Here is a 26,936-nt window from a genome sequence, read left to right on the forward strand (position 1 = left end):
CTTGAGCCTGGGAGTTCAAGACTAGTCTGGGCAATACGGCAAAAATCCCGTCTCTACAAAAAATACGAAAAGTAGCTGGGCATGGTGGCACACATCTATGCTCCGAGCTACTTGGGAGGCTGAGGTAGGAGGATTGCTTGTGTCTGGGAGGTGGAGGTTGCAACGAGCCACTGCACTCCAGCCTGGCTGACAGAGCGAGACCCTGTCTCAAAAAAAAAAAAAAAAAAATCAAATAAAAAGCCAGAAACCTGCAGGGTGGGGAGTGTGTGCACGTGGCTTACTTCAGTCTCCACTCAGAACGGGGGCTCTTTCCACCCTGGACTCTGGCACAATCATTCCTCATTTATTCCCTGTCTATATCTTCCCATCTGCCATTTCTTATCCTTGGGACGCCCTCCTCCACTCCACCAACCCACACCCTGCTTGTGTTTGGCCAGTGGGCTGGGTAACAGCTCCAGCTTGGCCCAGACTTTCCATGTGATCTTAGATCCAACATAGGCCCTGTGGGCGCCTCCGTCCCTCTGTCTATAATATGGGAACAGGGCAGGGAGACTGTGCCCCTCCCTTCTTGCATCCTAGGGTTTGGAGGCTCACCTTGGATGTCAAGCAGAGAGAAATGAGGGTTGCTGGGAGCTTCAGGCACCAGGCGGAAATAGAAGCGGTGCCCGCCTTGGGGCTCGTCTCTGTCCACCACGCTGATGGTCTGGATGAGCTGAAGGGTGAGGAGGGGATAGAGGGCTAGTGGTGAGGCTGAGACCACTCTGGGTCGAGGTAGAGGATGCTGCTGGCCAGTCCTGGAAGCAACGCCCAGTCCCCACCCCCTCAGGGGTACCTGGCCTGGCTTGGCATCCTCGCATACAGCTGCCTCGTAGGGTGTGGCCAGTTCTGGGGGATTGTCGTTCACATCCAGGATTCGGATCCTTAGGGATGCCCGGGATAGCTGTGCATGATTGTCTGTAATGAGAGCACAGGAGCAAGGGGAGAGGCATCAAGTGGGAGATCTAGATAGCCTCCTCTCTACTATGAGGACAATAGTAGGCAGTGGGGTCATGCTGAGAAATTTGTGGGTTAACCAAGCTGGTACAAGGACCAGAACTGGGAACATTTGGGCATAAGTTAAGTAATCATCACTGTAATCACCACCACCATTACCATCAACCTTGGCACCATTGGCATTATCACTACAACGCTTGCCACCACAATCACCAGTAGCACCCACTGCCATCACCAACACCATCACCACTGTCAGCATCAACACCACCATCACCATCCCATCTCCACCATGGCCACCTTTGCCATCACTACCACTATTACTATTACCACTGTCATCATTAAGCCATTACCAATACCACTATTTGCATTATCATCAGTGCGTCTATCAACATAACTATGAGTACCACCATCACCATCCTTATACTGTTACCATCACCACTGCCATCACCACCATCACCATCAGGTCATCACCATCACTACCATCACCATTAGAATTAGCACCACCACCACCAGAACCACATCCTCTAGTACTACACCCATCATCTCTACCATAAATAATACTAAAGCCATCACCATCACTACCCTCACCACCACCACCAACCCCATCACCATCACCAATATCACCATCACCAATACCACCACCATCTCTTCCATAGTCACCACAACCACAATCACCAGCCCACCTATTACTACTATTACCCCCATCATAATCACCAATATTACCATCACATCCCTGGCCCCCAACAACACTGTCATCACCACTGCCATCCCCACCCCCTCACCACAGAGCACACAGCATGCACGTGGAGCATCTACATTCATTATTTTAAGTATCCTTGCAGAAATCCTGTGGTTTGGTACAATTTCTATCCCCATATTGCAAAGGAGAAACTAAAACGTGGGATGCTTTCTAGACATGGGTCGGGGCAACTAAACTCCAAGACTTCTGCTTTCTCAAGACCTGATCCTAAAAGGGCCAGACAAGTCCAAGGAGGTAGATCTTCGCCAGCAAAACCATGATGTCCCCACCTCTCCAAGTTGGGACGTCTTTAAGATCATGGTCCCTGTCTTATTTATCTCTGGGCTACCAGCATTGTGGGATATGGTACATGTAAATTCTAATATATTAATATTTGCTGAATGAATGAATGAAGCCTGGAAAAATTGAGACTGCAGGAGGCTTGAATTCCAGGCGTGGCTGTGTCCCTGACCCAGTGTTTGGTCTTGGGTAAGACCCTGCCTTCTCTGATGTCAGTTTCCACACCTGGAAAATGAACAGAGCATAGTGATTATGAGCAGTGCTGGGTAGTTCTGATTCCAGCTCTGCTGTTTTATGTCTGTATAATCCAAGCCAGGTCATTTGACCTCCCTGTGCCTCAATTTTCTCACCTGCAAAATCGGTCTAATATTGACCCAATTATGCCTAGCGTTCCATTATTGGAACGCTAAGCATGTGAGAGTTATTTATATCCTACTGCTCAAGGACTTCGCCAAGGTCTGATTGCAAAAATTCAAAAAATTGCAACCTCAGGCATAAATGGGTTAATAGGTCGGTGAAGAGACAGATTGAGTTAATATCTGCAGGGCATTTGAAACTGTGTGTACAACACGTAGCAAGTGCTATATAAGCATTTGTAAATAACCAGACATTCTCGAAGGGTCCTATTAGCAATAACATTAAATAATTCTAGGATGTGGAATACTTCATCCCAGCCTGTCCTCTCTAAGCAGTGCCCTGAATGTTGGTGCTTTCTAACCCCTCACCAGCCCAGACCTCTGAGTGCTCACTGGTGCTCCATCCTCTGCTATCTTGGCTACATGTTCATTACTGACATGTTCCACCTGCCAGTGACCTCAGGAACATCTCCTGGAGGAGGAAACCACACCTCACTTCCAAGCAGTGACTTAGAAGATGGGGCTCTCTGGCTGGGCTGGCAGGGAGCTCTCTGAGGGGCAGCCTGAAAGCTTCCAGGCATCCAGGCTCCCCAAGAGTTTCACGGGGAGTGGGACTGGTCGGCTGCCTCCTGCTGTAAACTCAGGATCCACTGTGTGCTGACGGCAGCTGCTCACGTGTTGATAAAGAGAGAAACAGAGATAGGAAGGCAGGTGCAGCCACCTCCTGGGGGGGCGGGCGGCGGTCAGGAAAAGGAGGGGGCTGAGTTCTTAATTAATTCAGACCCCAGCTTCTCTCTGGAGTTCCCCTTAGCCAGGGGCACATTATCTTCTAAGCTCACCAGATCTGCCACTCCAGTGATTAGAGGGGGCTTTTCCAGGGCGAGAGATGGGAGTCGTGACTGGGAATGCCGGGTGAACCGTTATTTTTAAGAGTGCGTTGCCGGAGAATTTCAACAGACAGACGGTCGGTGCTTTTGGGAAGAGGGGGGTGAGGCCCACAGCCAGGAACAGGCGCCTCTTTCCCAGCAGAGGCAGAGGGAGAGTAGAGGGGGCGGCCAGGGCCTGAGTGCCCTTACAGGGCCCTTTCCCCTGCAGTGGAGGGTGGTGGGGGTGTGTGGGCTGGAGGGAGAGACAGGGTCCTATGGGCCATGTCGAAGGTACAGCAGGATGGACTGCTGAGTGAGTGATCCGCTCCTGGATGCTCACTGCAGATGAGACCCCCATTATAGCACCTTTGCTTTGGGCTATGCTCGGCCTCTCTTACCTCTTCTTTTAAAATGTCACAGGTCACCTTGTGAGAAAGCCCTAATGTCCTTGGCATGAGTGAGAGTCTCAGACCTAAGAGGTGGGGCAGCTGAGTGACCCCTAAATTGCCATCTGCATATCTTATTCTAGGAATTCCTGAATTTAGGGCTGGCATGGAATCCCAGAGCTCATTGGCTGGCCCCAGGTCAGTACCCATTGCCACTGCCATTGCCCTTGTGGCAGTGGGTCTCCAGCACAGCTGTACATCACAATCACCTGGAGAGCCTTTAAAAACACCGATGCCCAAAGCTTGGTCAGTGATTTTTTTTTTTTTTTTAAACAGCTCCAGAGGATCAGCCTGTAGCAAGGTTTGCAAACCACTATGCTAGGGTGACTGGGAGGCGGGGGGAATCCAGCCTGATTGGCTTCCTCCAAACCCCTCCTATCACAATTAGTATCATTTATAAGAATGGAAAATAATCGTATTTTGCCACCTTAAATGTTTCTGGGATAAAACAAGGAATCCATCTGTTGATTAATCTTGATCTCTGTGCAGGATTTTCCAATTCATAACACTCTCTCTTATTATGACCTCGTGTCATCCTTGAAATAACCCTTGAAGAAGGCCTTGTTAAACCCACTTTCTGGATGAGGAAACTGAGGCCCACGGAGGGGCAGGAGTTTCCCCACAGCCCTAGCGGAGTCAGCAGCAGAGCTGGGGTTGGGTCCGAACCCTCCTGACTCCAAGTTCAGCGCTTGGTCCTGATACAATGTCAGGGGCCCTCCTGCTGCCTGGTCATTTGTCCATTCAGTGGCAGCTATGGCTTAGACCCAGGCCCAAGTGGATCTCACCCAATGGCCGGCTGCAGGTGCCCCCTCCAAGGACTGGGTGCCCCACAGCCCTCCCCTCTTGGCTTTTCAGTTCAGCTGACTGACATGCAAATTAGTTTAATTATTTCTTCTTCTAAAATAAATTATATTTTGCAGTAGCTGCAATATGTTGTGTCAGGCAAAATTACATTCAATATTTTTAAACTAATTGATGCAGCCTTGAGGAAGGCTGATTGACAGCCCGGGGCTGAGCAGGCCTGCAGCCTTAACCGATTCCTAAATTAAAATTAAACGTGCTTTGGCCCGGTGCTTCCTCCTTGAACTGCCTCACCATTAATCCGGGGGGGTGGCAGGTGAAGCCCCGGGGGTCTGAGGGACCTGAGGAGGCTGGGCAGCTCAGGGTGCCTAGGGTAGAGACCAAACTCGGGGCAGGAGAACTGCTGTGCAGTGGGGCAGGTCTCTCACCTTCACTGGGCCTCAGAGTTTCTTCTGTATAATGGACAGGGGATTGGACTGGACAATCTGGAACTGAAACCTGTGGTTTTTGCTGACAGTTGTGGATCAAGCATCTCCTTTGTACCAAGGACTCAGCAGTGAACAAGACAGCATGGTCTCGTTCTAGTGGCAGGTACAGACATTACTCCAGACTGTGATAAGAGCTGAGGGAAAAAAGTTAAGGAGCTGTGAGAGCTTGGAGCAGGGGGTCTTGCCTGGTGGGATGCAGGATGTTTTTCCTGGAAAAACATGATATTTCTGCTGAGTCCTGCTGAGTCCTGACTGGGAAGTAATTGTATGAGGGGGATGGGAAAGGAAAGACTGTCTCAGGCAGTGGGATCAGCACGTGCAAAGGCCCTGGGGTGGGAGGGGAGGATGTGGATAATGAGACTCTGGATCTCTTCCAAGGAGGATCCCAGCCCCTACTAGAGTTACTCATTTGACATCTGGACCAACCTGAGTGGGCGTGGGGATGGGGATGGGGGCCAATGGGAAGGCAAGAGGAGACGGGGCCTGGCCTGGTGCCCCTGTTAGGGCGCTCCTATGAATGTGCTCCTCCCTGGAAGAATGGCAACAAACACACATTAAGTACATGCCAAGGACCAGGGTCTGGGCTGCCCCATTTCGTCCTGTCAACCACGGTGGGAGGCAGGGAGTGCTGTTGTTGCTGTTTTACTGATGAGGAAACGGGCTCAGAGGGGTGAGAAAACTTGCCCAAAGTCTCATAGGAGCTGGGACTCGAACCTGGGTCTGGTTTTAAAGGGGAGTTTTTAACCACCACATGATGTTGCCTTTCTTGTCTTTAGCTGTCAGAATCCATCTTGCCTTCAAGGCCCTGAACAAATTTCCCTGCTTCCTCCAGGAAGCTTTCCTTGATTGCTCTCAGTTCTGGGCAATCCAAGGATAAGCCCAAGTCCCCCATGCCCACAAGGCCCCCCATGATCATCCTGCTGTGGTCTCTCTGGCCTCGTTGCTACCCCTCCCTCCTTCTTTCACTCTGCTCCAAGTTTGCTCCTTTACCTCCTTCAGGTCTTGGCCCAGATTTCTTCTAGGAGAGGCCTCCCCTAAAGACCTTATTTCCATGTGCCCTTTGCCATCCTACCAAATGCCACTTCCCTGCCTTATTCCTCTTTGTAGCATTTACCCAGCACCCTCTGTTTTTATTTAACTTTCTCATCCTCTATCTCCTCCCCTAGTATGTAAGCAGAATTTTTGTATATTTTCTTTACTGCTGTATCCCCAGCAACTGTGTGCACACTACATAGTAGATGCTTAATAAAGATGTGTCAAATGAATGGATTCCACTGTCTGTGGCATTTCTGACCATGGCCACGCTCCAGGAGGGATGCTGGGGAGGTGCAGGGGGAGAAACTGAGACCTTCTTGGATGAACTGACTCTGTTGTATCAGGGATTGGGTCCCCTCCATTTCAGAAACAGTCTAGTGCTGGGACCCTCTTCCTGCCTCTCTCTTTCTCTGTCTCTTGACCAAGGTTTTCTCATCAGTAAAACAAATGGAGTTGGATTCTGTGGCTCTCCTTGGCTGTCACAGAGAAAGACAGAAGCCTGGAGAGAAAGAGAGAAGTGAAGCTGCAAGAGTGGGAGTGGGAAGGAGAGTGGGGGGTGGAGTGGGAGGGGGAGAGAGAGAGAGGAGAGAGGTCAGCTCAAAGAAAGTGCCTTCCCTCTCACTTGCAGTGGCAGGGATAGAGCAGAGCTTGGACCCTCTTCTCCACTATCCCCCCAGCCCCTCCCTCCTCCCCGAGGGAGTTAAATTGCATCCAAACACCAGGCTCTGATTAGAGCTGGCCAGCTGGGCAGGAAGATTTATCATCCCAATTACAAGCCCGCCAAGACAAGCAGGCAGGACAGTGAGGCGCACGGGACGAGCAGATGGGGGTGCTCCAGGGAAGGGGGTGTCAGGGTAGACAGAAGCGAACTCCTTGCACTCCCTGCCCTGTCCCCATGCCCCCCCCCAGTGGGAGCAGGAGGCTCAGGTGCCCTTCTCTGTCCCTTGAAGGGACTTCAGTGATCTATTTGGTTTCCACATGGAGACTGGAAGCTTTGACCTTATTGGGGGGACGTTTATTCCTCCAAGGAAGGGGTGGGGGAGGACTTCTGGGTGAAGCAGGGACCCTGAAATCATAACATCCCTGAAATTCAAAGGGGAGATGTGGGAACTTTCCTTCCCCAGTGGCTGAGCTGGTCCCTAATGTTCTGGGCTGTCCTACTCCATGTATATCACAAAATCTTTGTTCCCCTTGGGGTCCGTTAGGGACTCAAGGTGGCACAGGATCCCAGGAGTCATCCAGTCCAAGAGGACCCTGGGCCTGATTTGCACACCTCTGGTGACAGGGAGCTCACTGTCTCTTGAAGCAGCCCCTTCCATGCAGAGCTGTGACATGTCTCTTTCCCGGGCAGCCTCCCTGGAGCTCCCAACCACCTGCCCTGGTCCTGCCCTGGACCCTCCAGCCCAAAGCTGAGCCTGACAGCCTCCCATATGTTCCCCCGACTCCATGTTTGCCCCCTCCAAGCCATCCTCCCCATGAACCCGAGGGAACACTGGGGACCAAACATCTGATCACGCCACTCTTCTGCTCAAAGACCTGTGCTGGCTCCCTGTCACCTCCAGGAGATGTCTGGTTCCTCATGGGACACCAAGGCCCTTTCTGTACAGGCCCAGTGAGCTTCTTCACTCACCCCTTGCCTCACCTGCTCTGGACACCCTTCAGCTCCAGAGCCTGGCCACACCCAGCCTCTCTGTTCTCAGAATGGCCTCAGACATCCAAGCTCCCAGGCCTTTGCACACAGGGGGCTTTCTGCTGGGAACACCTGAATCCCCTTTCTGCCTGGAACACCTGAATCCCCTTTCTGCCCATGGAAAAACTTCCTTGGCCTTTGAAACCCAACTCAGATGTCCTCTTGGCCAGGTGCTGGTGCTCATGCCTGTAATCCCAGTGCTTTGGGAGGCCAAGGTGGGAGGATTGCTTGAGCCCAGGAGTTGGACACAAGCCTGGGTAACAGAGTGAGAGCCCCCTCTTTACCAAAAACAAACAAACAAACAAAAACCACACACACAAAAACAAAAAAATAGATGTCCCCTCCTCTGGGAAGGGTTTTCTGGCCCTCGCTGGGTAGGCCAGTCTCTCCCTGCTCCTCAGGAATCGCCGCGACCCCATGACTTTCACTGTGTGTTGTCACTGACTGTCAATGGGTCTCTCCCCGCCCACCCGTGAACTCTCAGGTCAGTGGCCAAGCCTCGTTCATCACTGGGTCTCAGAGCCCAGCCCTGGCTGGGGTGGGTGACAAGAGGCCCCAGAAAACACTGGCTGCGGGTACATGGCTTGTTGGTGTGTGTGTGGGTCCCTGCAGGAGAAACTGAGCACTCTCTGCTGCTCAGACCCCACTGTGACCTTCACTCCTCATCCCTGTCCCTTTCTCCAGCCTCCTTAGGCCTCCTCTATGGTCCTTCTGAGAGGCATAGACTGGGAGTCAGAAAGCCTCATGGGGGAACTCCCTTCCTTGGCGTCTGTCTCCCCAGGTTGGGTATGGGGCTGGAGGATGGGTATAGGGCTGGAGCCCATCATCTCTGACATTCCCTCTCCTCTCAGATTCTCTCCCTGACTATTAAGAGCACCTACTGTGTGTCAGGCACACAGTAGGCACCTGCGCTAGGCACTTGAGGCACATTATTTCTAATCCTTGGGGGATTTATGTTTTATAGAAAGCACTCAGCACAATGCCTGGCATATTGTAAGCTTTAAGTAAATAGAAGCTGCTATTATTATTAATTATTTTTTGAGATGGAGTCTCGGTCTGTCTCCCAGGCTGGAGTGCAGTGGTGCAATCTCGGCCCACTGCAACCTCCACCTCCTGGGTTCAAGCAATTCTCCTGCCTCAGCCTCCCAAGTAGTTGGAATTACAGGTGCCCACCACCACACCCGGCTAATTTTCGTACTTTTAGTAGAGATGGGGTTTCACCATGTTGGCCAGGCTGCTCTTGAACTCCTGACCTCAGGTGATCCGCCTGCCTCGGCCTCCCAAAGTGCTAGGATTACAGGCGTGAACCACCGTGCCCAGCCAGGAGCTGCTATTATTAATAGTTACCATTGTCACAGCTATCTGGTAAACTAAGTATGATTGTCACCATTTTGTAGATGACAAAACCAAGGTAACAAGATGGGAGTGACCTGTCCAGGCCCACCCAACTGGGAACCATGCGACTAGAAGCATTTCTTCTCCATCATGCATTCCTGTTTTTCCAACTGGGCATGCAAGCCCATTCATTCATCCATTCGGTAAACACACATGCCTACTGTGTGCCTGGCCTGTGTGTGCTGCAGGTATAGACTGGGCCCTGCCCTCATGGAAGGTACAGTTTCCCAGGGAAGAGCGATCTTCACTGAATACTCACACAGACCCATCTAAAAATCATAACACGTGCTCTGTGGCATGAAGGGAAAAGCAGGGTGCTGTGAGACGTGACTTGGCCTGGGGTGACCCAGATGGGGAAGCTTCTGGCGAGTCTGGTTAACCCTTTGCTGTCCTGGACATCTAGCTATTACCCCTCCAGATCAGCTTAGGGCTGGATGACTCTTGAGAGTGTGGCTGGGTGCCCCCCTTGGCACTCCCGCCTCCCAGTGTTGGTTTTCCAAGTCTCCCCTAGACCCCCCCCCCACCCAGTCTCTTTGAAGACTGTCCCTTTACAACTGCCCTTTCCACCGAAGGATTCAGACACAAATTGTACTTTAAATTCAATATCAGTCATTAATATTTCATGATTACAAAACGTTAAAGATAATGTCAGTGGAAGGAGCGTCTGCATGGGCAGAATGGATGACTCAGAAGTTCGGGGAGAGGGGAGCCGGCATACTAAGTGGCTCGGGAGTCTTTGAGGTAATCCAGTATGACAGGCGGTGGCTCCTGGCTGAGTGCAACATTCTCCGAGGTGCTCACCAAGCGCCGCCGCTGTGTATAAATATTTCCCCTCTGATTCTTGTCACCTCATGTTTATTATGACCAGGAGCAGGTGGGGCCACCATGACCCTCTGAGTTTCCCTTCTGTTTTTGAGGAAGCCAAATGGACGCTTTGGCAGGAGGGCATGGGGCTGGGTGGGCAGACCCGATGGCCATGCACCTGGGGCTCTGGCTGGCTCCTGGGAAGCCGGAGGTCTTGGGTCAAGCCTGCCCCTGCCAGGACTTGCTCTGTGATCTTGGGGCCATCCCTGTTCTTCCCTGAGCCTCTGTTTCCTCATCTGTAAAATGGGGATAATAAGTTTGTTCCCATCTCATGGAGATGGTGAAAAGGAAGAGTGGGTCAGTTATTTGTGGCAGCTTTTTTTTTTTGAGACAGAGTCTTGCCTGTTGCCCAGGCTGGAGCGCAGGGGCATGATCTTGGCTCATTGCAACCTCTGCCTTTGGGTTCAAGCGATTCTCGTGCCTTAGCCTCCCCAGCAGCTGGGAGTATATGCACACGCCACCATGCCCAGTTAATTTTTGTATTTTTAGTAGACATGGGGTTTCGCCATGTTGGCCAGGCTGGTCTCGAACTCTTGAACTCAAGTGATCTGACCCCTTTGGCCTCCCAAAGTACTGGGATTACAGGCGTGAGCCACTGTGCCTGGCCTGTGAGAGCTCTTGATTTTGTGCCAGCACCAGGGAAACAGGACTGGAGGGGCAGCTGAGGAGAGCCGGGCTCTGGAGTCAGGCAGGCTGGGGTTGGGAACCTGGACAAATGACTTCGCCTTGCTGAGTCAGGTTCCTCATCCCCACAGTGAAGATGGCAGTAGAATGGACACCCCTTAGGGGTGAAGATTTCATGAGCTCATCACAAGAAAGGGCCCGGAACAGAGTCAAGACCTACAGATACCATCAACTGAGCACTTACTAAGCACCAACCACTAGGCTAAGTTCTTCCCATGAGCTATGCTGTTTGATCCTCCCACCAGCTCTCTGAAGCAAAACCATTCCTTTTCCCATTAATTAATATCCTGGGTGAGGAGTGGGCAGGGGCTGGGGATCACAGCTCAGAGAAGGGGGGTCTCGAGCCCAGTGGCTAGTCTTCTCCTTTCAGAGATACATCTCCTTCCCCACAGTCAGTTACTGGGGTTGATGGATGGGATGGGGGTGGGGCTCAGACAGCAGAGAGTGCCCAGAAAAGGGAGGCCATGCAGCAATGCCGTGGGGACCAAGCATGCCTGGTCCAAATCCCAGCTTTGCCAGTGCACATCTTTGGCAAGCAAGTTTCCAAACTCTCCAAGCCTCAATTTTCCCATCAGGAAAATGGGTGCTAATCATGCTACTGATGATAATTCAATAAAGTATGTGCTGGAAAGCATCTAGGCCAGGATATATATATATATATATATATACATATGAAGCAAAAATTGTAAAATGTTTGTGGAGGAGTACCCCTCCCCCGATTCTGTCTCCTATGAAATGGCAGCCTTACAGGCTTCATATGCTATTCTAGCTGCTTTCTGAAAGAGACCCACTGGGTAGAAGCACAATGCTTAACCCAAGAGGAGATTGTTGCTGGTGGTGGGACACTGGGCCGGTGATAGGCTGGTGGCGGAGGGGCGTGTATCTGTGAGTAGGGAGAGGAGGCATCCCTGCCCAGCAGCCAGGCCAGTCCTCCCTCACTCCATCTACAGCCCAGAGCCTCAGTTGCTACCCAGGGAACAGGTTTGAGGAGGCAAGGAGGGGGAGCTCTCTTCCCCCAAGTCCAGCCACCACTTCCTCTCCAGCCACCTTTGTTATCTCCCTTTCATGCGGTAGAGGAGTGGATTCAAAGGCTCCAGAGCAGCAGTCACTGAGGTCTGAGCCAGCTTTGTATTTCCTTTTAAACTGCAGTTGAAAGAGACGAAGGGAACTTCAGCCTAGGGACTTCCTTGACCCCAGAATGGGCCAGTGGGGCCTGGGAAATGGGGGGATGGCAGCTAGGGGAGGAGGAAGAGGGCTGGCAGGAGGAGCTTGGGTCAGGAGGGGCCTGGGGCAGAGGGGCCTGGGATCCTGATGGGCAGAGGCGAGTTTGAATGTTGCCTACCCGCCTGCAGCTCAGAGACTCAACCATATTCCTGTTGTCATGATTGCTTATTGGTGGCTCTGTTGATGCCTGAGACCTTGAGGGCTGATGGGGTAGAGAAGCTGGGAAAGCAGGTGGAGGCCATGACAGTGGCAGTGTTGCTCTGGGCATGGAGGAAGCCCAAGGGCACTCCCCCTGGCCTCTCTCCCAGTGCTCTCAGCTCCTCACCTCCACAGCCTTACTTACCTGGATGCCATGTCTCAGGCTCTCTCTCTTTCTCTCCCAGCTCACATTTCTCCCTAGCTGCACCAAAAAGACACACACACACACACACACACACACACACACACACACACACACATATTCTTCCAGAAACTCAGGCCAAACACCCTGGAGTCATCCTTGACCCTTCTCCATCTCTCCCCGGGACATCAGCCCATGAGCAGATTCCACTGGCTCTATCTTCAGCCTGTATCCCAAAGCCAGCCACTTCTCACCTCCTCCTCCCCTCCTCTGTAGCTACTGCCCTGGGCCAGGCCATGGTCCTATCTCCCAAGCACTATTGCTTTCAGCTTCTAGCTAAGGCCCCGTTTCCCTCTCAGGCTCCAGGCTCTTCTCAATGCAGCTGCCAGAGGTACCCTGATGGAGAACATCCCTCCTCTCCCCAAATGCCTCCAATGACTCTAACTTCATTTGGAGTAAAGTCCAAAGACTCTCCAGTGGCTCTGGCTGACCACGCTGCCCCTCATCAACCACACTGGCCTCTTTGCTGTTCCTCCAACGTGCTTGGCAAATTACACCGCAGGGCCTCTTTGCACTGGCTGTTCCCCCTGCTTGGAATGCTCTTCCTGCAGATGTCAGCATGACTCCCTCCCCTTTTGAGGTCTTTGTTGAAATGTCTTTTCCTCATCTCTTAGATGTTCCCCTAAGAGAAGCAACGCACCTCCTCCTCCCAGTTCCCTTTCCCAGCCTCCTTCTCTCCTTGTTTCTTCTTAGCACTTAGCATCACCTGACATATTATGTCCGTGCTTTCTCTCTGTTGATAGTCTTGTTCTCCCTATGAGGACAGAAGCTTTTCTGTCATGTTCAAGGCTGGATCCCCAACCCCTAAAACAGGGCTTGCACGTAGCAGATGCTCAATTAATGATGAGAGAAGAAAGCCTAGTTTGAGACCAGCCCTACCCCCTTGACTTGGAACCAGCCCTACTCCCTTGACTTGCAACCCTGCTGGATCTTTGCTCGCACCCATCAGCTTTTGCCCTCGCCTTCACCGCTGTGAGATCTTTGTCTAGTTTCTTTCTCTTCGCACCATCCCCAACCTTTGGCCCCTCCCCCGTGGGCTTTGACTGACAGGGCTGCCTTGGCCCTGCCCCCAGCCCTTGGCCCCTCCCTTCAGCTTTTGCTCCTGGGCCCCATATTTGCCCTTGGAGGGGGCGTGGCGCCCAGCTCACCCGCCTCCATGGCCAGCACTGTGATGTTGTGCCAGCCGGCCGTCTCGCGGTCCAGCCCCTTGCCAGTCACGATGGCGCCTGTGTCCGCATCGATATCGAAGATCTGGTCCAAATCTGATTCGCGGTCAATGGCGTACCTGCGGGGGGCAGGGCAGGGCTGATTGAAGGTGCCCCAGTGCCAAATGGAGCCCATGTCCTTTTCTCCCAACCCCACTCCAAGAGAGGGACCGCCTGCCTTGGACACACACAAGGGGCAGAGAAACCCCTTGCGACCGAGGAGGAGCGGGAAGCAACTGGGTGTGCATTTCACTTGCACGGGTAGCTGCTGTGACCATGGGCAGCCCTCAACCTTTCTGAGCCTCAGTTTCCTCAGTTGGAATGGAGCTAATAATTTGTACCTGCAGTTGTCGTGAGGGTTGGAAGCTGGCAAAATGCTTGGCACAGTTAGACTCACTGATACTCTCTTCTTTCTTTTCTTTTCTTTTCTTCTTTCTTTCTTTCTCTCTCTTTCCTTCCTTCCTTCTTTTTCTTTTTTGTTTATTTATTTTATTTTATTTACTTATTTTTTGGAGATGGAGTCTCGCACTTTCGCCCAGGCTGGAGTGCAATGGCACCATCTTGGCTCACTGCAAGCTCCGCCTCCCGGGTTCACGCCATTCTCCTGCCTCAGTCTCCCGAGTAGCTGGGACTACAGGTGCCCGCCACCACGCCCGGCTAATTTTTTGTATTTTTCAGTAGAGACGGGGTTTCACCGTGTTAGCCAGGATGGTCTTGATCTCCTGACCTCGTGATCTGCCCGCCTTGGCCTCCCAAAGTGCCTGGGATTACAGGCGTGAGCGACCGCGCCCGGCCCTCTTTTCTTTCTTTCTTTAGCCAGGGTCTCACTCTGTTACCCTGGGTAGAGTGCAATGGTGCCATCACGGCTCACTGCAGCCTCCATCTCCTGGGCTCAAGCCATCCTCCTGACTCACTGAGCCTCCCGAGTAGCTGGGACTGCAGGTGCGTGCCACCACGCCCAGCTAATTTTTTTTTTTTTTTTTTCAGAGACAGGGTTTCGCTATGTTGCCCACACTGGTCTCGAACTACTGAGCTCAAGCGATCCGCTCGCCTTGGCCTCCCAAAGTGTTGAGGTTACAGGCATGAACCACTGCACCCTGCCGATTCTTATCTTTCCCTAAGAGGTGCCCCTGGAACTGAGCTTGAAGGCAGAGACCGGGAGTGTGGGTGGCGTTCTGGGCAGGGGAAACAGAAGGTGCAAAGGCGCGGCGGCTGAGAATTATCCCAGAAATGGCAAACACTGCAAAATGGTTCGAACCGGGAAGTGGGGAGAATTCGGCACCAGAACACACCGGCACAGCACAGTTGGCGTGTACTGGGGAGCCAACGGGGAATTTTGAGCAGGGGAGAGGGGGGCAGTTGTGGCATTAGGAGGCTTCTCTGGGGGCCGCGGCGTGGACACGCCCAGGGACACGCGCTGGGCGAGTGCCGTGGGAGGGGGCCTGGGGACACGGCCGCCGGCTCCTCCCGCCTGCGCAGCACGCGCGAGCTAATCTGCAGCTTTTCCGTTGCCGCGTGAAAAAGCCCTTTGTTCCGCCTTCTTCCCGGGCCTTTGTGTGGCGGCTCCAGGCCTTAAAGGCCCGTGTCCAACACATGTCTCGGGCGGCGGCGGCCCAGAGAGGCCTCGCCAGCTCCGGCCTCCGCTTCCCCATGCTGATAACGCTGGTGGGGGCGCCGCGAGGCTGCGCGCGGACAAAGGCCTCGAATGCCAAGCAAGCGCTCATTGTGCGCCAGGACAAAGCAGCCTGGTAAGGAGGGGCCCCTGCGCAGCCACCCGGCCCCTCCCACAGGCAGGAGGAAAGGGGCCTTTTTGTAGTCTCCCAGAGTGGGGAGGGGAGGACCCCAGAAGCATTGCCTGCTGGGGCCCAGAGCCCTGAGATGACCCGTCTGTGAGGCCTTGGCTGCATTGCCAAACCTCTCTGGGCCTCAACTCCCCCATCTCTGAAATGGGGATATTGACACCCACTGGGACTTCGTGGGTCTGAAAGCAGTCAGAGCTGGGTTTGAATCCTCTGCCACTGATTCTACCTGTGTGACCTTGGGCAAGTCACTCCTTGGCTTCTGTTTGCTCACCTGAAAAAGAGGATGACTCCTACTCACCCCACATTGTGGTGTTAGAGGAGGGGCGGGCATACAGGACAGTCCTTATGCTTTTCATGTTTACTGTCCTGGAGGTGAATGCCTATGGCAAACTATAAAGGGATGTGCCTATGGGTGTAGTGGGCATTATAAGCCGATCCCCTGAACCCCCAGTTTAATGCTCCATACTGTTCCTAAACTGCTAAACCCATATTCTTCTTGCCCCTGGCCACCTTGAGTCCCGCTAGCCTGGGCGAAAGTACGTGGGGAGGTTCAGACCCACGATTATAATTCCTCCCTAGCATGCACCTAACAGTTTGGAGCCTGCTTCTCCCCCAACCATCCCTCCATTCATTCCTTTATGCCCTAAACACTAATTGAGTGCCTTCTCTGTGCTGGTCTGTGCTAGACTCTGGGGATAAAGTGGCAAGTGAGATAGAAGAGGTCTCGGTCAGGCATCTTATGAGGCTGATGTGATCTCCCCCATTTTACAGATGAAGACACTGAGGTCCAGAGAGGAAACTTGCCAAGCTTAGAGCTGCCAAGTATGGTTGTGCAGGTTGTGTCATGCACAAAGATACCAGGCCGAAGTGGGGAAGCAGGGGTGAATTCCAGCGAGCCTTCTGCTTGCCCAGCCACGTGTCCTAGACCAGGAAGTATCAAAGGGGGGCCTGTTTCTTATTTATACAAAGGTGACAATGAGCTAGTGATGCCGATGCCCTGCTCAAGGGTGTACAGCGACTCTGTCACAGAACTGAAATTTGAAACCAAATTGGGGATTCTCTCCCAGAGTTTAATTTTTTTTTTTTTTTTGAGACGGAGTCTTGCTCTGTCACCCAGGCTGGAGTGCAGTGGTGCGATCTCGGCTCACTGCAAGCTCCGCCTCCTGGGTTCATGCCATTCTCCTGCCTCAGACTCCTGAGTAGCTGGGACTACAGGCGCCCGCCACCACGCCCGGCTAATTTTTTGTATTTTTAGTAGAGACGGGGTTTCACCTTGTTAGCCAGGATGGTCTCAATCTCCTGACCTTGTGATCCGCCCGCCTCGGCCTCCCAAAGTGCTGGGATTACAGGTGTGAGCCACCATGCCCGGCCGCCAGAGTTCTTTTTAGCCTGACCGACAGCCCATCCAAAGTTGAACCAGCCAAATCCTCGATGCATGAAGCTTCAGGGTCCCCTTTGCCCCAGCCTGGCCCCATCAGATATCTGAGTCCAAAGGAGGTTGAAGGAGGCTCTTGAGCATCATCAGCTCAGCTGGAAAGAACTTTGGAGACCTCCTCCCATTCTACAGGTTGGAGGATAGAGGCCAGGAGAGGACCAGAGACATGACATAGCCTGGGCTTCTGATCCCTCGTCAGGGCTGGGCGAGAGGCCGGGCTGATGGGAGGATGCCAACTGCCTTCTTGTTGTTTCTCCTCCCTTCTTGGCTCAGAGCTGTCTCCTCTCTCCTCCCTCCATGCTGCTGCTGCTCCTCCTCCTCCTCTTCCTCCTTCTCCTTTGCCCTGTTTTTCTCTTTTGTTCTTTCCTCGAGGGGAAGGGAGGGGCTGGAATCTAAATGGAGGCAGCTGTTCCTAAGGCCATAGGGCGGGGGCAGCGGGGACCCGCCATTAACTAGCTAAAGACCTGGGGCTGGGGGTCAGTTTGGCTGGCTGAGCCCAGGTGTTTTTATTCCAGCTCAGGGAGCCAGAGAGTGAGTGGGAGGGAGGGAAGCAGGGAGGGGTGGGAGGAAGCAGTGTGTGGCAGGGACTGTGGCCTGGCAAACTTAGGGGTGGAGGGGTGGGGTGGGGGCGAAGCTTGTGCAGCTCACGTGTAGTGCTCGCATGGGTTGTGTATTTGGTCTGTGTTGTGGGTGGACAGTGTGTGTTTTGTGTGGCGTGAATATGTGAGTGGTGTTCCTGTGTGTGTGAGATTGTGCATTATAGTTGAGCAGTGGCTCAAGAGGCAGCAGCTCAGCCCTGGGTCTGGATCCAGGTCTGCATTGCCCCCAGGCAAGTCACTTCCATCTTTAATTCCCAGCAAAATAGAGATGATAATCCTACTTTGTAAGTTGTCGGGAGAATGAAACGCATGTAAGGTGCCTAGCTGAGTTCCAGGAAAATTACTCCATGAATGGGAACTATTGTCACTGTAATTATTATTCAGAGATGTCTGGCAGGGAGTACACAGGAGTCCCCCCAACCCAGTGTGTGGCTTGCATGCCTGGGGGCGGGGAGGTAAGATGTAGGGACACAGTAGTCTGAGAAGGACAGGAGGAAGCTGTGGGTCTAGAAGGTTCTGCTTAAATTTTGCAGTCCTACTTCTCATTTGGTGACAACAACCTGAAGGGCAGCAAGGGGAACTAGAACAGGTGAGGCTGGGGGAATAGGGAGAGAATATGAGTTTGTGGCAGCTCGTGTGTGTGTGCACCCACACATGCAAGGGAGGCCTGGGAATGGTGCTTAGGGGTGCAGATCTGATGCCCATCTGCCTAGGTTTGAAACCTAGATGTGTGACCTTGGGCAAGTCACCTAATCTCTCTGTTCTTCAGTTTCCTTCTCTTAAAAATGGAGATAGTAGGCCGGGCAGGGTGGCTCACACCTATAATCCCAGCACTTTGGGAGGCTGAGGCGGGAGGATCACGAGGTCAGGAGTTTGAGACCAGCCTGGCCAACGTGGTGAAACTCCGTCTCTACTAAAAATACAAAAAATTAGCTGGGTGTGGTGGCATGTGCCTGTAATCCCAGCTACTCATGAGGCTGAGGCAGGAGAATTGCATGAACCCGGGAGGCAGAGATTGCAGTGAGCCAAGATCGCGCCATTGCACTCTGGCTGGGGAGATAGTGTGAGACTCTGTCTCAAAAAAAAAAAAAAAAAAAAAAAAAGAGAGAGAGACAGAGATAGTAATACCTACCTCACAGGCTGGTTGTGAGGTTCGGACAAGTGACTACCAAGAAATCCTTAAGATGGTTCTTGGTGTACAGACTAGCTCTTACTTTTCTTTGTTGAGCAAGACTTTGTATCATGAGCTCTTCGAATCCTCAGATACTGTCATCACTCTCATTTTACAGAGGAGGAAACTGAGGCTCGGAGAAGCCAGGTATCTTGCCCTGGGTCACACAGGGCTAGTTAGTGGCAGAGCCAAGCTCCCATGTCTGTTCAGAGCCGGAGGTCTAACAGCATCCTCTTAAGGAGCCAGCCAGGTACACCTGCTAGCATTTCTGTGTTAGCAACAGCACAAAATGCTGCTGTTGTCAAGGTTAGGGTGGAGAAAATGGGGAGGGTGCTGCTTCCTGGCTGGGGTGCACGTGTGGTTTTCCTCTACATAAATATGTGCATATATAATGCATGCAGGCATAATAAATAGGGAAGGCTGCAGGCTTATGCACATACAGGCTTTCTGGTGTGCCTGTGTGTGAGTGCATGAACATACGAGCAGCTGACTGAATGATGCAGCTGCCGCCCAAGCTGCTCGTGTGTGTGTGTCGGGGTGTAGTTCGGGAGCCTCTTCCAAAACAAAGCAGCCTGCCTCCTGCTCCACTGTCCCAACCAAGGGATTCCTTTCTGCTCACTCCACCCTATCTGTGACTCTTTTCCCCCACTCCCTTTAGGCATATACAGAAAAGCCCACACATGATGCCTGGAAAATTGTATGTGGTTAACACTAGTTGCAGAATGAAAGGGAAAAAATGGGTGTGCAGACCACCAAGAAAAATGGTAATGACCATTTCTCGAGGGCCTGCTATATGCTAAGCACTTAATCCTTCTTCCAACCCTGAGAGCACCAGGCACAGAACTTGGTATGTGGTAGACATTTAATACCTATGAATGAGGCACATACTATTATGATGTCTATTTTAGAGATGGGGAAACCGAGGCTCAGAGGGGGTGCATTGACTTGCCCAAGACTCCACAACTGAGCTGGGATTTGAACCCAGGTCTCCTCTGATTTCAAAGCCCTTGCAGTTTCTGCTGCACCACACTGTGGAGTGCTGGGTGGAGAAAGGAAGTGTTCGCTTCCTCTGCTGCAGTGTGGACTAGCTGTTTTTGATGATCAAAGGAGACTCACAATGGGGCTAGGTAGGAACGTGGCTGGGCTGATAAATGGCCAGTCTATCTGCAAACCTGCCTAACTGAGAGGTGGGCCCATCTGAGCACTTTCCTGCCTCCTTCTCAAGCCTTCTAAGGCTTCCCACTGCCTAGAGGATAAAGTCCCACTTCTTCATGTGGCATTCAATGTCCTTCGCAGCCTGTCTCCAAGTGCTCCCTTGTCCCTTGTCGTGAGCTTGTCCAGCTGGTCTCGCTGCTCCTGAACTTAACCTCCTGGCTCCATGATTCTGTCCCTGCCATCTCTCCTCCCCATCACTCCAACCTGGGGCACACTCTCCCCATTCCAAGCCTTGTCCTCTTCGTCCCCTTGCAGGGGCCTTTTGGGGCAAACCTCTGTCACTCCCCTTCCTGGTGCATAAACTACTCACCCCTCCCTGGAGCTCCTCAAGCCCCTGCCTCAGCCCAAGCCCACTTGGACCTGGACCTGTCACTGGATTCGTTCACACGGGCCAAGCTTTCCCACTGGCCCATGTCTGAGGCCATCATCTCTGTGGCCAGTGCACAGGGGAGGACGCTGCACCAGTTTAGGAACTGCACTAACCACAAGGAGAGTAAGAAGCAGGAGTGAAATGGCCAAAGGCTGGATTCAGGAAGTGGTGAGTCATGGGTCAAACCCCGGTGCTTCCCCTTTTGAGCTGGGTGGCTTTGGGAAGTCATTTCCCCTCTCTGACTCTCAGTTTCTTCGTCTGTCAAATGAGTACAATACCCTCTGAAGGGTAAATGTAGTAACATGAGGCACCTTCTACTATCTCCAGTGCAGATGCTAAGAAAAAATCTCTCTGTACTGTCTGCTTTCCTATAATTTCCAGGCACTCACTGTGCCCTGCAAACCATGCTAGGCAAAGTCTCCCAGGATGCCACCTCATGTCTTCATTTCCAGGGACACGCCAAGCTTGTTCCTGCCTCAGGGCCATTCTGCTTGCTGTTCCCTCTACCTGGAATGCTTTTCCTCACATTTTTGCATGGATGGCTCCCCATCATTCTGATCTCAGCTCATGTGTCACATCCCTGACCACTCAATTCAAAGTGGCCCTCTGTGGCCCCAATCCCTCCTTATCCTATCACTCTATTTTCTTCATAGTGCTTTCAGCAGTTATTCCATTTAACCATTTGCTGTCTGTCTCTCTGCAGGAGAAGGCAAACTCCACGTGGGCAGGGATCCTGTTTTATCATCTCTGCTTCCTCACTGCACAGAACAGTGCCGGGCACAACTCAATGCGGAGTTGCTGCCTAAGCCTGTGACCCTGAGAACGCAGGTGCTGCCAGAATGGAACCCTTAGAGCGAGCTGGACTCTGGCAGCACACATGGCCTGTGAGGACCCCTTCTCTGTCTCCCACAGACCCTCAATGGCCTCCCATTTCCATTTTTGTACCCCACAGTCTGGGAGCTCCACCCCAGTTCTGTCCTTGGCTGAGTCATCTTGGTGTCCCCAGGCCTGGCTCAGGGCCTGGCATGGAGGAGGAGCTGGGTAAATGTTTGTGGTGTTAAATTGGACCAGTCTCCAGCTCCTCACTGCCTCCACATCTGAGGAGCCCCAGGGAAGGGGCCGGCAAAGAGAGATGAAAGAAGGTGAGAAGCAGGTTTCAAAGTTGGCCCTTTCAGTGCAGATAAAAGCAGGAGGGAAGGGAGCCAAAGCGGGGAGGAGGAAGAGGACTGAGAGGGGGTGTGGAGAGTGGAATTGGAGAGGAGGGGAGCTGGCAGATGGGAGGACTGACCTGGGGCCAAGGACTCGCCTCCCGCTCCGTGTTCTTACCTCCCTGGGAGAGCCTGCAGAATCCTCCTCCCCTCCCTGGGCCTCAACTCCCAGACAAACAGAGGTGACAGTGCCCTTCCTGGAGAGGTCTGGGCCCAGGCCAGAGGCCAAGGGGGTTGTTCAGAGACTATGCCACCAGCCCGGGTGGAAGGGAGTGGAGGAGTTCAGAGGCAGTGACAGGATGGCATTGGCAGCGAGTGTAGTGAAAGTAGCGTGGGCATTCTCGGCTTCAGGACAGAGTCTGAGCTCCTCAGCCTGCCTCTGAGGCCCTGTTAGACTTCACTTTTGTGCCTCATCTTTCCCGGCCCCCTGTAGCGATCACAGTCTGCTCTTCTTCAGGCACACCAACCACTCCTCTGCCTGTATACCTCTGCACAAGCTGTTCGTCTGTCTGGAATGTGCCTCTCCTGATATTTACACCATACCCAGATACCTAGGTCAGGTCAATTCCTGCCTCCTTCAGAAGTCTTCCCAGACTCCTGGGGCTATCTCCCAGTCTGAGAATCCATGAACAGTTAAGCAGGATAGCATCTGTGTGTCTCACTTAGGGCTGCCATGTAAGGTTGAACAGGCTGTGCACTGCACAATCCTGATAGAGCCATTCAGACAGACAATGACGGAACGTTGCCCTCTGGAGTTGCACAATGCAGAGGTCCTCAAATAAACTTTCCCTCCCCCTCTCCTCAATGCCCAGCACAGGGCTAGGCTCATAGTCAGCTCAGGGGTTACTCATTGAATAGGTACAGGGGTTTTGGGAATGAATCAGGGAGCCCCAGTGCCTCCTTCCCATCCCTCTAACACTGGCCATCCCCCCAGCCCCTAACCTCCTCCTCTGGATCAGTTTCTTCTACAGCCTTTCTTCCCTCTTCTATCTGAACATCTTCCAGCCTAGGCTACTGTCAGAGACTCCCCAATACTTACAGCTCCCAGACCCTTCCAGGGACCCCAGCTGCCCCATCCCTGCTCTGCCTCTGGCTTGCCTGTGTCTGTGTCTATTTCTTCCCTTTTCTGGTTTCCTCTCCAAGGTGCCCTTCTGTTTCCACATTGCCAGGTCAGTCCCTCCTGTCCTCTTTTTATGGGCTTTTCTTTCTCTCCAGTCTCTTCCTCTCATTGTTGGTCTCTCTACATCTCTGTGAGTCTGTTTTTCTGCCTCTTTTTTCAGTCTTTATTTTTATTTTTTAGTTTATTTTAATTAATTAATTAATTTATTTATTTTGAGACAGTTTTGCTCTCGTTGCCCAGGCTAGAGTGCAATGGTGCAATCTCGGCTCACTGCAACCCCTGCCTCCGGGTTCAAGCGATTCTCCTGCCTCAGCCTCCAGAGTAGCTGTGACTACAGGTGTGCGCTACCACACCCGGCTAATTTTGTATTTTTAGTAGAGACGGGGTTTCACCATGTTGGTCAGGCTGGTCTCAAACTCCTGACCTCGGGTGATCTGCCCGCCTCGGCCTCCCAAAGTGCTGGGATTACAGGCATGAGCCACCACACCCGGCCTCTATTTTTACATATCATTAATTCACCACATATTCAGCACGTGTCCACTGAGTGCTGAGGCCTGGGCTAGGCCCTATGGGTATAGTGGTGAACAAATAGACGTAAATCCCTACCCTCAGACAGCTTACCTTTCAGTAGGAGAGACAAAAAAGGTAATCAGAAAAGCAGGTAGCATGTCAGATGGTGATGAAAGGTAATAAGGAAGCAGCAGAGGAAGACAGGGGATAGGAAGAGTCAGGGCTAAGGGTTGGGGTGGAGTTGAAATTTTAGGAAGAGTGGCCAGAGAAGGTCTCACTGAGAAGATGACTTTTGAGCAAAGACCTGGAGGAAGTGAGAGAGCGAACTATGGGGGCTATTAGGGCGAGAACGTTCTAGGCCGAGGGATCCGCTGTAGCACAGGCCCAGAGTGCAGATGAGCGTGGTGTGTTTGCAAGGCTGTGAGGGGGCCAGTGTGGTTGCAGCAGAGTGGACTGGAAAGGAGAGGGAGGTGTGGTCTGAGAGGTTCAGGGAGGCCAGAGCTGTCATTGTAAGGGCTTGGGCTTTTATTCTGAGCCTAGTAGGTGTCTTTGGAGGGCTTGGGCAGAGCAGGGCCAGGCTCTAGTTCACATTTGAGCAGGATCAGGCTGGCTCCTGCAACAATTCTAGGTTAAAGAGGGGTGAGGACAGAATCAGGGACACCAGCAAGGAGGCAACTGCAATACTCCAGGCAAGAGAAAACGGTGGTCGGGACCAAGGTGGTAGCAGCAGAGGTGGTGAGAAGTGGTCAGATTCTGGATCCATTTTTAAGGTAGAGACAGCAGAATTCGCTAATGGATTGAAGGGAGGCATGAGAGAATGAGAGGAGGCAAGGATGCCTCCAACGTTTTTAACCTAAACAACTGGAAGGATAGAGCTGTCATTCCCAAGATGGAGATAACGGCAGGCAAACTGGTGGGTTTTTTTTTTCTTTTGATGGAGAGACCAGGAACCCAGTTCTGAACTTAAGTTTGAGGTGTCTAGCGGAACACCAAGGGAGATGATGAGAGGGAAGGGGGTGCAGGGAGAAGACTGGGGGAGTCCTGGGCACAGGGATGGCCCAGTCGAGAGATCAGGGAGCCAGTGTGGCTGCAGCCAGCAGCGCGGAGACCCCGCCAGTGCAGTGCCCGCCTCTGTGTCTGTCCCTCCTGGTTCTCTCCCTTATTGGCCTGGCTCGCCTGCCTGTCTCATTGACTGTTCTCACATCTGCTTCCTTGGCTCTTTGGCTCCGTGCCTGTTTCTCTCCACCCGTGCGCCTCTCTCCGCGCCTCCCTCCCCCACGCAGCCCCTTCCTTCGGCCCTGCCCGCCCCAGCCCTCCTCCCCTCTGCCCGCAGTCTGTCCGCGGGGGTGATGGCGGGATAGCAGGCAGCAGGCGTCGGCCCCGGGCGGGGGTCTCACCGGACGGGCCGGTTGGCGGCGTCGGGGTCCCGCGCCGTCACCACGCCGACCAGGGAGCCCACCTGCGCGTCCTCCTGCACCTCCAGGAGGCCGGAGGGCGGCCGGAACTCGGGGGGCTCGTCCACGTCGGTCACGGCCACGCGCACGATCGCCTGGTCGCGGAACGTGCCCAGGTCGGCGAAGCGGGGGTCCACGAACTTGTTGAGGGCCTCCAGGATCACGGTGTGCACGGGCTGGGATTCGAAGTCCAGGCGCTGCGGGAGGGAGCAGAGGGCCGGTTAGTGGGTGGGGTCTGGTGGACACTGAGGCCTTCACGAGGGAGGCCAAGGCAGGCGGGGTTGGCCCAAGGTCACACGTTGTCTCAGCAGGGGCGGCAGGGATGTTTGGGCTGCATTGCAGAACTGACCCAGACCAACCCGGTGGGTTACGGGTGGAGAAACTGAGGATCCTCGAGGACAGTCTTGCCTAAGGACACAGCCACTCCAGGCTAACGCGCTGAGCACCCAAACTTCCTGCTTCCCAGCGCAGTGTTGGCGGCATATTTCATTAGTTTAGTTCACGAACACAAAGCACCTACTGTGTGCCAGTGCTTTAAGTATATTAACTCAACTTGACATCAACCCTAAGAGGCTTGTATTCTTATGATCTGATCTTACACATGAGGAAAACGAGGCCCAGAAAGGCTCAGTAACTTGCCCAAGTCACCGGGCAGTGAGTGAGTCCCTAGCAGAGCCAGGATTCCCTGGTATGCAGGAGTTAGCAACTAATGTGAGTTGAGCCCGATAAGCCGGGCTGCCTTAGAGCTTTCCTCTGAGATCTGGCTAAATCCATGCTGAGCCTGTGCTTCTTATCGGGGGGTGCTAATGGGTGACCCTCTGATGAATGAGCTCCATGGCTGTGTGTTAGCTCTGACCGTCTAAAGACACTGCCTATAGCAACGAAAAAGCCATGTCGTGGAGCTGCAGGGACCTCAGCTACATGGTGGGGGAGCGATCTGATTGGCAAGAGTGACCTTCCAGGAGACTCACAGGCAGGTGCCTACCCTGTGTATGGGGTCCCCCCATTGCTCTCAGAATCCCCCACCCCCGACTTCTCCAGCAGCAAAAACAGCCGTGTCCTGCCTCCAGCCTGTTGCCTGGGAAATCAGGATGCAGGGAGGCAGGCGGTGGCCTGGCCTAGGAGTGAGTGGTGGACTCTGGAGCCAGGCCATCAGTCTGCTCCCTGAGCCATCACCGACTCCGCAGAGACACCCTAGGCGCCACTGCTGGAGTGGGCGGCAGGAGGGGGCCTGAGAGCTGGGGGTGGGGGAGATTAAGCAGCCCAGGGGATGAGAGCAAATGCTGTGCTGGAGTCCCCGGGCTGAGTTTGAAGCCTGATTCTGCTGCTCTGTGAAGCTGGGTTTCTCTGGGCCTCCAATTCTCCATCTGTAAAATGGGCTCATCTAACAGTTAAGGATGAACGGAGATCAAAAGACTGAAAATCACTAGTGCTTAAAAAAGGGAGATTCTAGAGCTGGACCCCCTGAGCCCGTATCCCTACTGAACGATACTAGATGCATGGCCTTGGGAAAGTTACCGAACTTCTTGGGGCCTCAGTTTCTCATCTATAAAATGAACGATTACAGCATCTCAGAGGGTTGATGAAGGGATCAAATGAGTTAATACGCAGAAAGTAGTTGAAGGGTGCCTGGCATGTGGCAAGCACTTTATCACAAGTAGTAGCTATTATATTATTATCCTCTGGAAAGGAGCTGAAGGAACTGGGCATTTTGTCTATCCTCAAGCCCTCAATGCCAGGTAAAGAGCGGGTCATTATGTGCTTGCTGAGCAAAAGAAGGACTGTTGAGGGCAGATGTTGGAAGGCAGAGCTCAGGCTGATAGGCACAGATTTAAGGAGACAGATGCCGGCTGAATGGGAGGAAGAAGAGCTGGACAGTGGCAGAAAGTGAGCATTCTGTCGCTGGAGATATACAAACAAAGGCCTATGACCACTTGTGGGCCAGTGCAGGGGACTTAGACCTCCCATGGGAGAGTGGGGTCGGAGTGGGTGGTCTTAATGGCCTTTGCAGCCCTGAGTTGCCAAGCCCCTGACCAAATCCTGGAAGATGGATTTTTGCCTCTTTATTTGACCTCCCTAGGGATCGCTGAGTTTGCAGTTTGAGTTTCTGGTTCCTGGGCCAGCCAGTGGGCAAGGAAGGCTGTTAGACTCAGGAAGGAAAGAGCTTTGGAGTCACTAGACCTGGGTTCAAATCTCTACCATGTGCCTTACAGGTGTGACCTTGGGTAAGCCCCTTTACCTCTCTCAGCATCTATTTTCTCAGTTATAAAAATGAGGATAGTAACCTCAGCTTCAGAGGGAAATATGAGGATTAAAGGCAATGAGGAGTGTGAAGAGGCTGGCAAGGATGTGAAGCACACGTCAGAGTGTTTGAGGGTGTGGATTCCCATCTGGATTGAACCCTGGCTCTGAGAACCAGCTGTGCAACCTCAGACAGGTCACTTCACCTCTCTATGCCTGGTTTGCAAAAGGGGAATGATACCATCAGTGTTTTTCCAGGTTGGTCCTGGACCTCTAGAGAGAACTAATCCATTGAGTGGAGTGAGGTGGGGGTATTCGGCTGCCC

The 26,936-nt window shown here is 52.9% G+C and overlaps 1 protein-coding gene and 1 long non-coding RNA gene across 8 annotated transcripts in view, besides 2 other annotated features; one reads left to right on the forward strand and one right to left on the reverse strand.

Moving 5' to 3' along the window:
• The window catches only part of CDH22 (cadherin 22), a 134,760-nt gene that overhangs the window by 12,255 nt on the left and 95,569 nt on the right, over window positions 1-26,936 (reverse strand). For 3 of the 6 annotated variants that reach the window (XM_024451966.2, NM_021248.3, XM_011528994.3), the window contains exons 7-10: window positions 24,314-24,567; window positions 13,430-13,566; window positions 833-954; window positions 595-712 (exon numbers count right to left, since the gene is read on the reverse strand). In XM_024451966.2, coding sequence (XP_024307734.1) covers window positions 595-712; window positions 833-954; window positions 13,430-13,566; window positions 24,314-24,567 — 631 coding nt within the window. Of the gene's footprint in view, window positions 1-594; window positions 713-832; window positions 955-9,707; window positions 10,210-13,429; window positions 13,567-24,313; window positions 24,568-26,936 lie in introns of those variants that run through there. The other 3 variants (XM_024451967.2, XM_047440373.1, XM_047440374.1) reach the window with 3 other exon arrangements.
• Window positions 15,134-26,779, forward strand: LOC124904916 (uncharacterized). 2 transcript variants are annotated; one of them, XR_007067612.1, is made up of 3 exons: window positions 15,134-15,234; window positions 19,964-20,246; window positions 20,782-20,866. It is a non-coding gene; the product is annotated as an uncharacterized LOC124904916 (long non-coding RNA). The 2 variants fall into 2 exon arrangements; XR_007067611.1 differs by lacking the exon at window positions 15,134-15,234 and adding an exon at window positions 26,451-26,779 and having other exon boundaries at window positions 18,868-20,246; window positions 20,782-21,220.
• Window positions 20,117-20,196: an enhancer, noted in NCBI's record as "active region_17968". NCBI's record gives its function as "activates an Ori minimal core promoter by ATAC-STARR-seq in GM12878 lymphoblastoid cells {active_cell/tissue: GM12878}" and the evidence as "EXISTENCE:reporter gene assay evidence [ECO:0000049][PMID:35858748]".
• Window positions 21,957-22,251: a silencer, noted in NCBI's record as "tiled region #13247; K562 Repressive DNase matched - State 10:DNaseD". NCBI's record gives its function as "represses a minimal TATA promoter and a strong SV40 promoter by Sharpr-MPRA in K562 cells {active_cell/tissue: K562}" and the evidence as "EXISTENCE:reporter gene assay evidence [ECO:0000049][PMID:27701403]".

This window comes from Homo sapiens, chromosome 20 (genome assembly GCF_000001405.40).
Source record: "Homo sapiens chromosome 20, GRCh38.p14 Primary Assembly".
NCBI classification, from domain to species: Eukaryota; Metazoa; Chordata; class Mammalia; order Primates; family Hominidae; genus Homo; species Homo sapiens.